Source organism: Homo sapiens, chromosome 15 (assembly GCF_000001405.40).
Source record: "Homo sapiens chromosome 15, GRCh38.p14 Primary Assembly".
NCBI classification, from domain to species: domain Eukaryota; kingdom Metazoa; phylum Chordata; class Mammalia; order Primates; family Hominidae; genus Homo; species Homo sapiens.
In genome coordinates this window covers 92822544-92836011 of record NC_000015.10, presented here as the reverse complement: position 1 = coordinate 92836011, position 13468 = coordinate 92822544, and the positions used below count along the sequence as shown (strand labels likewise).

The 13468-nt window shown below is 44.0% G+C and overlaps 4 annotated features.

Moving 5' to 3' along the window:
- Nucleotides 2878-2937: an enhancer, noted in NCBI's record as "active region_10122". NCBI's record gives its function as "activates an Ori minimal core promoter by ATAC-STARR-seq in GM12878 lymphoblastoid cells {active_cell/tissue: GM12878}" and the evidence as "EXISTENCE:reporter gene assay evidence [ECO:0000049][PMID:35858748]".
- Nucleotides 3694-3893: an enhancer, noted in NCBI's record as "active region_10121". NCBI's record gives its function as "activates an Ori minimal core promoter by ATAC-STARR-seq in GM12878 lymphoblastoid cells {active_cell/tissue: GM12878}" and the evidence as "EXISTENCE:reporter gene assay evidence [ECO:0000049][PMID:35858748]".
- Nucleotides 4274-4323: an enhancer, noted in NCBI's record as "active region_10120". NCBI's record gives its function as "activates an Ori minimal core promoter by ATAC-STARR-seq in GM12878 lymphoblastoid cells {active_cell/tissue: GM12878}" and the evidence as "EXISTENCE:reporter gene assay evidence [ECO:0000049][PMID:35858748]".
- Nucleotides 10554-11210: an enhancer, noted in NCBI's record as "H3K27ac-H3K4me1 hESC enhancer chr15:93368032-93368688 (GRCh37/hg19 assembly coordinates)". NCBI's record gives its function as "activates a minimal SCP1, AML or CMV promoter by ChIP-STARR-seq in naive H9 embryonic stem cells {active_cell/tissue: H9 hESC(naive)}" and the evidence as "EXISTENCE:reporter gene assay evidence [ECO:0000049][PMID:30033119]".

Here is a 13468-nt window from a genome sequence, read left to right as displayed (position 1 = left end):
TCCGCCTCCTGGGTTCAAGTGATTCTCCTGCCTCAGTCTCCTGAGTAGCTGGGATTACAGGTGCCTGCCACCATGCCCAGCTAGTTTTTTGTATTTTTAGTAGAAACGGGGTTTCATTATTTTGGTCATGCTGGTCTCAAACTCCTGACCTCAGGTGATCCACCCATCCTGGCCTCCCTAAGTGCTGGGATTACAGGTATGAGCCACCGTGCCCGGCCTATTTATATATAATTTTTGAGACAGAGTCTCGCTCTGTCACCCAGGCTGGAGTCAAGTGGCGCGATCTCGGCTCACTGCAAACTCCACTTCCTGGGTTCAAATGATTCTTCCACCTCAGCCTCCTGAGTAGTTGGGGCTACAGGTGAACACCACCACGCCTGGCTAATTTTTGTATTTTTAGTAGAGACGAGGTTTCACCATGTTGGCCAGGCTGGTCTTGAACTGCTGACCTCAAGTGATTTTTATTTTAAATGATAGGGAACATAGTCCAGAGAAAGACATGCTTTAAAAAAGACTGTTGATCAGTAAGACAGCCAGGAACAAAACCCAATCTCCCAAATCCCAGTCTAGAATATTTTCCACTGTTTACTTCAGGCAAAAATACATTCCACATTGTGGTATAAAATTAGAAAAAAATGAAGAAAAGCCTATTTTGGATCAAATAAAAGGATACTGGGTTCAAATTTAGTTGTGTGGTCAAAGCCAAATTTCATAAACTCTCCAATCCTGCTCTTCCCTGGGAAAAAGATGAGGATAAAAATATGTACCTCGTAGTGTTGTCGTGGTAAGTAAGTTTATATATGTGAAATGCCTAACAAATAGCATTTCTCCATTAATGGAAATAATAATAATGCTAATTAACAGTCAATAGGTGATAGTATAGTTAGAATCAAGAATCCCCCATCTGTGGATAGACAGTTTTATTCTTCTCTTTCAGGGCTTGCAAATTAACTTGATAAATCATGATGTGGAGAATTATATTTATATACTTTATATATAATAATAACTATACAGACGCAGTTGGTAACAATTATTTTAAAACATATTGGAAGTATAAGCATAAATTCTAGTATCAGGGGTAGGGGTGAGCTGGTCTTATGAAATGTGACAATGAACTATCATGGTGAATAAGATTGGTTTCTGAATTGGGTAATAATATTTCTGATCAAAAGTAGATGTGTGGCCGGGCGCGGTGGCTCATGCTGTAATCCCAGCACTTTGGGAGGCTGAGGCAGGTGGATCACCTGAGGTCAGGAGTTTGAGACCAGCCTGGCCAACGTGGTGAAACCCCGACTCTACTAAAAATAGAAAAAATTAACCAGGCATGGTGGCGAGTGCCTGTAATCCCAGCTACTCAGGAGACTGAGGCAGGAGAATCGCTTGAAACCGGGAGGTGGAGGTTGCAGTGAGCCAAGATAGCACTATTGCACCCTAGCCCGGGCAACAACAGCGAAACTCCACCTCAAAGAAAAAAAAAGGAAAGAAATCAGTTTGGTACTTTCTCATAAAGTTAACCATAATCTTACTATAGTAGTTATCTTTTCCTGTATAGCAAATCGCTCCCAAATTTAGTGGCTTAAAATAGCAATAATTTTCTTCTTCTTCCTCTTTTTTTAATATCTCATGGTTTCTACAGGTCAGAATTGAGACAGTTAAGACCAACAAAGCTTACAGAGTAAAAAAAATTAAAATTAAAAAAAAAATTTTAAATAAATAAATCAAGACAGGGCACAGCAGAGGGTAGCTTGACTTTGCTGTACCATGTCTGGATCACAGCTGGAAGACTCTGAAGGCTGAGAAAAAAATCATCTGAGGCTTGTTCATTCACATGTCTAGTAGTTGATGTTGGTGTGGGCTGGGGGCTATCGTCTGGAATATCTACACATGGCTTTTCCATGAACTTCCTCACAACATGGTCCCTGGGATGAAAGGGCAAGCCTCCCAGGAGAGAAGAGGGAGGAGGGAGAACAGGATAGAAGGAGAGGGAGAGAGAGGGGGAGAGAGAGAGAGAGAGAGAGATCCTTGCCTTCAGGGGGATACAGATGTTGTAAGGGTACCCGTTTTTATACCTTTACAACATCTACAACATGGTAAGCAATGCTGTTACTTTAACAAGTGAAGTTAACACATGAATTTTTTAAAATGAGTTTGTTAACCTGTGGTTGGTTACTTTTATGTGTCAACTTGGTTAGGCCACAGTGCCCAAACATTTGGTCAAAGATTCTCCTGGATGTGTCTGTGAGGGTGTTTTTGGATGAGATTAACATTGAAATTGGTGAACATTAAGTACAGCAGATGGCCCTCCATACTGTGGGTGGGCCTCATCACATCAGTTGAAGGCCTGAATAGAACAAGAGACTCCCTCTCGCTCTCCCGGCTCCAGACAAGAAGAAATTCTGGGAATTCTGTCAGCTGACATCTTTTGGATTGAACCACAACACTGGCTCTTTTCTAGGTCTCTAGCCTACCAGCCCACACTGCAGATTTTGAACTTAGCCTCCATAAGCATGGATCGATTCCTTAAACAAAATCTCTCTCTCAGTCAGGCTCATGCCTGTAATCCCAGCACTTTGGGAGGCTGAATCGGGCAGATGGCTTGAGCTCAGGAGTTCGAGACCAGGCTGGGCAACATGGCAAAACACCATCTCTACAAAAAATTAAAAATTACCTGGGCATGGTGGCATGCACCTGTAGTCTCAGCTTCTCGTGAGACTGAGGCAGGAGGATTGCTTGAGCTAGGAGAGGTTGAGGCTGCAGGAAGCCAAGATTACGCCAGTGCACTCCAGCCTGAGTGACAGAGCAAGGACCTGTCTCAAAAAAAAAGAGAGAGAGAGAAATCTTTGTCTATAAATATGCACATCCTACTGGTTCTGTTTCTCTGGAGAGCACTATTACAGCCTGCTTTGCTAGTATCAACAAAACCACGGGCTTCTTGTCCAGAAGTTTTTGCCCCTGCTTCATAACTGCAAATGGAATTTTCATGGAAAATATTTCCTGTGTTGCTATTTTTTTTTTTTTTTTTTTTTTGTCATCCAGGCTGGAGTTCAGTGGTGCAACCTCAGCTTACTGCAACCTCCCCTCTGGGTTCAAGCGATTCTCATGCCTCAGCCTCCTGAGTAGCTGGGACTCCAGGTATGCGCCACCACGCCTGGCTGATTTTTGTATTTTTCATAGAGAGGTGTTTCACCACATTGGCCAGGCTGGTCTTGAACTGACCTCAGGTGATCTGCCTGCTTCGGCCTCCCAAAGTGCTGGGATTACAGGCATGAGCCACAGTGCCCAGCCACATTACTTCTTAATAATAGATAATGTGCCCTAATATACAGTATTTACATAAAGCCTTGCAGCAAGGTGGCAGTTTTCAGCCATTTTTTGAGGAGGATGTGAACAGGAGCCGTTACACGGCTCATCAGTCATCTGTTGCAAAGAAGCTGTGCTCAGCAGCGCAGAAGGATATCTTTCATTACTGGAAACCGTGAATCAGCTCGAGTGAAACAGGGCTCTGTCAGCTTATAACACTTAATTATGTTTTTAACTCCATAAATTAGTTCAAGTAAAGCCGTTTGAAAATAGCCAATTTCCAGTTTGAACTTACAGAAAATTAATGGCAAGAATGCAAACTTCTAATGTGTTAAGAAATTATTTGAATTTCTTAACTGTGTCTCCCACTAAAAGTTTGTGCTTTAAATTTTGTGTCAGTTCTGCATCAGAATTATTCAGTTTCCTCTTATGCAACAAACCCTAGAAAATTCTAAAGTTTCAGAATAAGAGCATTTCCTAAAGAAGAGAAAATATATTGGGGGTGGTGGGGGGGAATGGGATCAGTACGTGGCTCAAGTTTTTCACCCTTGAGGAGTTAAGAAAAACACTTCAACATAAGGACAAAAGCTCCCTTGTTTAAGCACTTCCCCAGCTGCACTTCAACTAAATATATCCTGGGCAGAGTGTTTTCATTTCTCCACCCCTCTCCTGAGCCAATCACATGGTGACAAACAGCTCGGAGGCCCCTTGGGACTAGCACTGCAGAGGTACAGGCTTGGTTACAGGGCTTCGCGTTCCTTTCCAGCACAGGCCTGCTCTGGGCCGCCCTGCCTCCCCCAGAGGCTGCAGGGAGCCCCAAGCAGGCGCATTGCGGGCTCTGCTCAGAGAGACGCCTCCACGGGTTAATTCAGCGGCCTCTGTCTGGAATTCATGCACCACCTGGGCTGACAGCATGAATGACTCATTGTTTCCCCTCTGAACAGGCTGAGGAGTGCTTCTTGGTGTCAATAACTGAGGCAAAGTAAAATTGTTTTTTCCCTTTCAACATGACCAATTTTCTAAGACTGAATATAGAACTGGAAATCTGCAGGGTGTGTTTCTTCTGCGGCAACGGTAGCCAAGGTTACTGCTTTGAGTTGGTCTGCAGGGACAGAGGATTAAAATTTACTGTCTATAAACAGAAGAAGGCCTAAAGCCAGAGCTCCTTTATTTACAGCTTGTGTCATGGTTTTATAAAATGAAGGAAACTTAATTGAAACCTCTAGTTTGTGTAAACCTGGGATCTGACTGTACACAATACCTGATTTTATTTCTAATACCCGTGATTTGTATAAATGAAGATTTTGATGATAATTTTCCCATAGCTAAGTATAAGACATGTATGCTTTGAAGTCCATATATGAATCTTCCATACCAGCATTTCCAAAGCAGTGTATTAATAATTATGCCCCACCTTCAATTTTCCTATATGGCACCCTTCTCATTTTCAGTTACTTTTAGTTTCCTTGGGAAACTGGACTGGTTGATATTCCTGGACTATGGGATCTTTTTGCCTTGCTTACGCATATCTCAGTCCAAAAGCTTGACAGCCAGAACTATACAGATATTTTACTACCTTTCTGCAAGTGTGCGTGTATAACACTCTTGTTTCTTTGAACTCTTGTTTCTTTGGCCTCTTATACTTTCCTAAACTTTAGGTGTTTTTTTAAAAAAATTCAAAAAGAGGCCGGGCGCGGTGGCTCATGCCTGTAATCTCAGCACTTTGGGAGGCCGAGGGGGTCAGGTCACGAGGTCAAGAGATGGAGACCATCCTGGCCACTATGGTGAAACCCCATCTCTACTAAAAATACAAAAATTAGCTGGGCATGGTGGTGTATGCCTGTAGTCCCAGCTACCCGGAGGCTGAGGCAGGAGAATTGCTTGAACCAGAGTTGGAGACTGCAGTGAGCCAAGATCACACCACTGCACTCCAGCCTGGCGACAGAGCAAGACTCTATCTCAGAAAAAAAAAAAAAAAAAAATTCAAAAAGAAAGATGTAGAAAAAAAAGAAATAAATGCAGAAAGGAAAGGGAAAAAGGTCTTGTGTAGATTCAGGACCTTGGTTCTAATTCAAATCTGGGAGGTTAGCATGCAACAGAGTACTTTCTTCATCCAATTAAGTAGCAGCCCTGAATAGATTCCAAGTCATTCTGACTTTGAATAGGGATGAGGACAGCTGATACTGAAGAAGAGAGAATGTTGAGGCCCATGTATAGCCTTAAAAGAGAGAGAGAATGAACTTGGGATGTGGAGATTAAATAGGGCGTTTAATAAAATGGCAGTAGATGCTTTTATTTTAATTGGTATCAATCAGCTCAAGTAACCTTTAAATTTCTGCAATAACAGGAGACTGAGTTGGCTTTGGCAGGGCTCTCTATCCCAGGAATGGAAACTCACGCAGGTTCTGAATCAGAAAGAATCAAAATAACAAAAAAAAATTTCCGTCTTTCAAATCTATGCTATAATTTAGCAAACTGAGTATCTTTCCTTGCTTGCCAGTATCTTTAAAATAAAGTCAGGTATCAAAATATTTGTATTCCCTTTTTCGAAGCTAATAAAAACCTGCAAAGATTAAGTATTTCTCCATTTTTGTAGAGAACACAATTATTACAGCGTGCTTACAAAATGACAATTCTCAAAGCTTCAATTTCTCACATCTAACAGCTAGTAAATGTGTAGTAAATGTGTAGTTCTCTGAATGAGACCCTTTTACATCATATGCAATAAATCTATTTGTCAAAGAGTCTCCTTAGCTACTGAAGATTTCATGGTCCTTGTGCCAACAGAATCAAGCACTTTGGTTGAATATCTGGAGGATTGTGACTTGAGACATGCAGGATGGACACAATCCTACTATGTGCCATACGGTTTGGTTCTTCCAACAGAGTGAAAAAACTTCTAGGCAGCTTCTAGCCTCTGAGAAACGTGCCTTAATTAGCTGAGTGTGGCGGCGTGCGCCTGTAGTCCCAGCTACTAGGGAGGCTGAGGCAGGAGAATCACTTGAACCCGGGAGGCAGAGGTTGCAGTGAGCCGAGATCACGGACTACCACTGCACACTGCACTCCAGCCTGGGTGACAGAGTGAGACTCCATCTCAAAAAAAAAAAAAAAGAAAAAAAAAGAAAGGTGCCTTATTTCCATTTCTCATCAATACAGCCAGCTTTCCCTTGGCCCCACTTAGTCTTTTCATCAAGACAAGGCTCTCAAGACTAACTTTAAGTCCTTCCTAGTGGGCGATGTGTTCCTTCTGCTTTTCTCAAGTCCAGAGTAAGGGCAATTTACATAGCTGATTGTTCCTTTCAACTGCATAGAACTCTTTCACCACCAGTTTAATAAATGTAAAATTATCGGATGCAGGCTTCCCCTCAAGAGAATCCTTGTTGTATACACTTCAGTTTTTTTGTTTGTTTGTTTTTTAAGACAGAGTCCCGGCCAGGTGCGGTGGCTAACGCCTGTAATCCCAGCACTTCGGGAGGCCAAGGCGGGCAGATCACGAGGACAGGAGTTCAAGACCAGCCTGGCTAACATGGTGAAACCCCATCTCTACTAAAAAAAAAATACAAAAATTAGCCGGGTGTGGTGGCACGTGCCTGTAATCCCAGCTACTTGGGGGGCTGAGGCAGGAGAATCGCTTGAACCCAGGAGGCGGAGGTTGCAATGAGCCGAGACCGCGCCACTGCACTCCAGCCTGGCAACAGAGTGAGACTCCGTCTCAAAAAAAAAAAAAAAAAAAAAAAAAAAGACGGAGTCCCACTCTGTCACCCAGGCTGGAGTGCAGTGTTGCCATCTCAGCTCACTGCAACCTCCGCCTCCCAGGTTCACGTGATTCTCCCACCTCTACCTCTTGCGTAGCTGGGATTACAGGCATGCACCACCACGCCCGGCTAATGTTTGTATTTTTCGTAGAGACGGGGTTTCACCATGTTGGCCAGGCTGGTCTCCAACTCCTGACCTCAGGTGATCTGCCTGCCTTGGTCTCCCAAAGTTCTGGGATTACAAGTGTGAGCCACCACGCCTGGCCTTCTTCAGTTGTTTTTAAGTGGACCTAAAGGAAAACAAACTGGTGGTTCTTAAGGGCAGGGTTTGTCAGAATCAACTGAGGCTTTCCCAAATTAACACCATCCCCAACCACTGCTCTAGTAGTTCTCCAGATTTGGAAAGGGCCAATTTAGACAAGTAAAACAAAATGTAATTCCTTTAATTTTTATTATTTTATTTTATTTCATTTTTTAGAGACAGGATATCGCTATGTTGCCCAAGCTGGTCTTGAACTCCTGGCCTCAAACAATCCTCCTGCATTGGCCTCCCAAAGTGCTGGGGTTACAGTGAGCCACTGCACCCAGCCTAATGACTTTAAAATCCCAGGCAAGGAGAAGGGGACAGATGACTTGAGTTTTATTTCATGATGTCACAGCATGTTTGGAGCAAAGTGGAACACTCTGCCTTGGCTTCACATCGGTCCACAGTCAATAATGGCATTACAAGATAGCAAACGCGGCCGCGTGTGGTGACTCAGGCCTGTAATCGCAGCACTTTGGGAGGCCGAAACAGGCGGACCACGAGGTCAAGAGATGAGACCATCCTGGCCAACATGGTGAAACCCTGTCTCTACTAAAAGTACAAAAATTGGCTGGGTGTGGTGGCGCACACCTGTAGTCCCAGCTGCTTGGGAAGCTGAGGCAGGAGAATTGCTTGAACCCAGGAGGTGGAGGTTGCAGTGAGCCGAGATCACGCCACTACTGCACTCCAGCCTGGCGACAGATAGAGACTCTGTCGGGAAAAAAAAAAAAAAAGCAAACACTCAAGGTGTTCAGAAAGAGTCTCTATTCTGTGCAACCAGATAGGATTCTTGTTCAAACAATGTAAATCTAATCTACGAGAATTAGGAGAAAATAATAATTTAAAAATCCTTCCTCAGCCGGGCATGGTGGCTCATGCCTGTAATTCCAGCACTTTGGGAGGCCAAGGCGGGGCAGATCACTTGAGTTCAGGAGTTTGAGACCAGCCTGGGCAACATGATGAAACTCCATCTCTGCTAAAAATACAAAAATTAGCTGGGTGTGGTGGCAGGCGCCTATAATCCCAGCTACTCGGGAGACTGAGGCAGGAGAAGAGCTTGAACCTGGCAGGTGGAGGTTGCAGTGAGCAGAGAATGTGCCACTGCACTCCAGCCTGGGTGACAGAGTGATACTCTGTTCCCCCTTCCAAAAATAAATAAATAAATAAATAAATAAAAAATCCTTCCGTGTAAACAAAAGCTTTGTTAAATCTCTGGAATTAAAACCAATGTTTGTAGTTTCTGAAATACGGTTTTGTCAGCTTGATAAATTTCATTTGAAGGCCGGGCACAGTGGCTCATGCCTGTAATCCCAGCACTTTGGGAGGCCAAAGCGAGTGGATCATCTGAGGTGAGGAGTTTGAGAACAGCCTGGCCAACATGGTGAAATCCTGTCTCTACTGAAAGTACAAAAAATTAGGCCAGGCACGGTGGCTCATGCCTATAATCCCAGCACTTTCGGAGGCCAAGGCAGGTGGATCACCTGAGGTCAGAAGTTTGAGACCAGCTTGGCCAACATGGCAAAACCCCATCTCTACTAAAAATACAAAATTAGCTGGGCATGGTGGCAGGCGCCTGTAATCCCAGCGACTCAGGAGGCTAAAGCAGGAGAATTGCTTGAATCCAGGAGGCAGAGGTTGCAGTGAGCCGAGACCACACCACTGTCCTCTAGCCTGGGCAGAGTGAGTCTCCATCTCAAAATAATAATAATAAGTAAATAAATAAATTTCACGTGAAACAGAACCTCAACATATTACTACTTTGCACTTGCATCAGTACTTACATCACTGGTGTTTAGAAAGATAGTATTTATTTGGACACTCATTTTGTTATGTAAGCATTGATAGCAACAAAACTAACATTTTTTTTTTCTTGTTCCTGTTTTTTTTTGTTTTTTTGTTTTTTTTTTTTTTTGAGATGGAGTCTCGCTCTGTTGCCCAGGCTGGAGTGCAGTGGCGTGATCTCAGCTCACTGCAAGCGCTGCCTCCCGGGTTCACGCCATTCTCTTGCCTCAGCCTCCCCAGCAGCTGGGACTACTGGTGCCCGCCACCACGCCCGGCTAATTTTTATTTATTTATTTATTTTATTTTTAGTAGAGATGGGGTTTCGCCATATTAGCAAGGATGGTCTCGATCTCCTGACCTCATGATCCACCCGCCTCAGCCTCCCAAAGTGCTAGGATTACAGGCATGAGCCACTGCACCCGGCCTCTTGTTCCTATGTTTTGCAAAACAGTTCTTAGTTCTACCCAGCAGATAATGTCTACCTTATATAAGGTGCTGTGGATAATGGCTGAAAAACCAATTACTCATATGAACTGAACTTTTTTGTATGCATTCTATATTTCTGGAGTCATTAAGGACAAAATGCATATGTATAACTTAACTCACAGGCTTTTGCCAAGGCAGTAACTATAGGAAACTGAGTATTGTGTTGCTGGGGCTTAGAAAATGATACCTGAAAGTTCGGTGCTTTGGCATGCCAAGTACTTTGAACTGAACGATGATAGAAGGGCCTCAGAAGCAAAGTCTCTCTCAGAACTTCTCTTGCCCTCCTGTCTTCCTCTCCCACTTTTCCCCAAAACAGGCCATAGAAACTAGAATTCCTTTTCCCCAAGGTGGGTCACAGAAGCCAGAAATACTACTCTAGGATTCCCCTGCCTTTCTGTTTAGGAACTGGCCATAAACAAATTCTCTGACCTATCTTGTCTGATACAGTAGATCATAAGACCCTTGTTCTGCAAGGGGTCCTTCCCTATACCCAGGAGGAAAGGGTGCTGCACAGACAGGCCAAGAAGGATCTGAACAGACAGGTCTTGGTGGGTTTCCCCACCTCAGACTATCAGTACTAGCTCAGACCTGCTTTGATATTTCCACATGCCTGCCATTCTTCATGAACCCTAAGCATAAAAATGGATAGCTTTGCGGCTGGGCGCTGTGGCTCACGCCGGTAATCCCAGCACTTTGGGAGGCTGAGGCGGGCGGATCACGAGGTCAGGAGATCGAGACCATCCTGGCCAACATGGTGAAACCCTGTCTCTACTAAAATACAAAAACAAAAAAATTAGCCAGGCATGGTGGCGAGCGCCTGTAGTCCCAGCTTCTCAGGAGGCTGAGGCAGGGGAATCGCTTGAACCTGAGAGGCAGAGGTTGCAGCGAGCTGAGATGACGCCACTGCACTCCAGCCTGGCGACAGAGCGAGACTCCGTCTCAAAAAATAATAATAATAATAAAGGATAGCTTTCCGTGGGCCTTTGGGTCTTCATTTCTGAAGGCTCCCCTGTCATATAAAACTTTGATTAGATAAATTTGTCGTGCTTTTCTCTTGTTAACCTGTCTTTTGTCATAGGAGTGTTGCTGTGTGATCTTTACTATGGGTGAAGAAAGGTATCACATTTTTCTGCCCCTACACTTCCCTCACTCAACTAAAATGCAGCAAATGTTAGAAATGATGTCCAAGGTGAAATTAAAGGATTGGCTAAAGGGTAATTTGGGAAGTCTGTTTAAGTGGGTAATTAGGGAATTCTGTTTAAGTTTGGTATTTGTTTGTTTTGTTGTTGTTGTTGTTGAGACAGGGTCTTTGTCACCCAGGCTGGAGTGCAGTGTCACAATCATAGTCCACTGCAGCCTCAACCTCTTGGGCTCAAATTGTTCTCCTGCCTCAGCCTCCTGAGTAGCTGGGACTACAGGCACATACCACCATGCCTGGCTAATTTTTAAAATTTTGTATAGAGACAGGGTCTCCCTATTTTGTCCTGGCTGATCTCAAACTCCTAGGCTCAAATGATCCACCCACCTCTGCCTCCCAAAGTGCTGGGATTATAGTCATGAGCCACCACCGCACCCAGCTAGTTTGGAATCTTAACCATTTGCTGAACTTGTTTATCCTTCCTTCCTCCTCCCCCACGACTCCAACCATGCCTCAGTTTTTGACCCTAAGAGTCAAAAATTCAAATATCTATAGAGGCCAGGAAGTTAACTTTAATGAGCAAAGCAGCTAGATTTAAGAAAAATAGAAACAGACACATTTTATGTGTCTAATAAACAGAGGCAACTCTTCATTTCCACTAAGAAATGGGCTCCCTCGGTTGGGTGCAGTGCCTCACGCCTGTAATCCCAACACTTTGGGAGGCCGAGGTGGGCAGATCACCTGAGGTTGGGAGTTTGATACCAGCCTGACCAACATGGAGAAACCCCATCTCTGCTAAAAATACAAAATTAGCCGGGCGTGGTGGTGCATGTCTGTAATATCCCAGCTACTCGGGAGGCTGAGGCAGGAGAATTGCTTGAACCCAGGAGGCAGAGGTTGCAATGAGCCGAGATCACACCATTGCACTCCAGCCTGGGCAACAAGAGCGAAACTCTGTCCCCCCGCCCCCCCCCCCCCCCCGCAAAAAAGGGCTCCCTCTCATTATTCTTGAAAGATGCTTTTGTCTTGTTTTCTCTCTTTTGGTACTTAGAAATACTTTACTCCAAGAAAAATACTAGTGCAGATTCAATATAAATGACACTTCATACTTAGCATCAATGGAGAAGCAACAGGGAATGGCAAAGGCTATGGCAAAGTGGACAGCTCATATACCATCTAAAGTAGCACTAGGCACCTGCTGATAGGGTAGCCATATCTTGTTCTTTTTTTTTTTTTTTTTTTTTTTTTTTGAGATGGAGTCTCATTCTATCACCCAGGCTGGAGTACAGTGGCGCAATCTCGGCTCACTGCAATCTCTGCCTCCTAGGTTCAAGAGATTCTCCTGCCTCAGCCTCCCAAGTAGCTGGGATTACAAGTGTGCACCACCACACCTAGCTAATTTTTGTATTTTTAGTAGAGACAGGGTTTCACCATGTTGGCCAGGCTGGTCTCGAACTCCTCACCTCAGGTGATCCACCCGTCTCGGCCTCGCAAATACTGGGATTACAGGCATGAGCCACCCCACCTGGCTGCTGTATCTTGTTCTTTAGATGAGCAAAAAGTAAAAAAAAAAAAAAAAGGCGAAGTCTCTGATTTGTATGTAAATTCAGATTTTAAAATGTAGCTTCAAATTTTACAAAACGAATGTTAAAAAGAGCCCAACAAAATAGTTTGGTGGGCTTGACTCAACCTGTAGGCCACCAGTTTTAAGATCTCAGATCTACTCATGTAGGCACCCTGCCGTGAAGTGCTGGGAACAAAAAGATTTAAAAAATCTTTGAATATAAAATAAGAAGTTTATGGACTAGAGAATTAAACATGACTACCCACACTTAACTATCTGTGTGCTGTAATAGGAGAAATTACCAAGTGGTCTGGGAGCCCAGGGGAGACCAAATCAGATGCAGGTGCATGAGCAGTAAGGTAGGTCAGGGAAGGATTCCAGAAGGAAAGGATAGTAGGAACTGTCTTGCTGGTTGAGCCAAGCCAGCAGAAATGGTGAAGGAAGGTGGTCCAGGCTTGGTTATCAGCACAGCCACAAGTAGCCTGAGTCTTTTGGAAAAGAAGCTAAGGTAGGATGCTAGAAGCAAAGATGTCTTAAGATCAGGAGGTCAGTGGAGAGAAGTCCTTCTTGTGAGGCATCTCCAAGGTGCCTACATGAGTAGAAGAGAGCAGACTGAGGAGTGAAGACAACTCAAAAGAACATCAAGGCCAGTTGCCTGGTCTGCATTTCTTAGACACATTATTGTGGCCTGGTGCAGCATGCAAACTCACTTCAGCATCTGCCAGAAATTAGGCTTAATTTCAAAGAAACCAGGAAGTAAAAGTTTCCATCAAAATAGAGGATTTAACCCCCAGCATTTGACAATACCTTCTCCTGGCTTCCCACTATCTGATTCATTATTATGTCTGTGGAAAGGGTGGGCCAACAAGCTGACTCTGAGTGCAAGCTGACTCTTTGACTGGAATAGCTGGTCTAATCTTGACACAGATGCAGATCTAAAATGTAAATCAATGTGTCCCGGGTACAGCAAGGGAAAAAGACTCCCCTTCCTCCCTTCCTTTCAGCATTTATTTGAGAAAACTTGTAAGGGAAAATTCTTTCTCTAACCCTTTGAGAGGTATGTAAATCTTTTTAAAAGCTAAATAAGCCTCTTACCAGCTTTACAGCCCAGAAATGTCTTACTCAGTGACCTGGGAGCT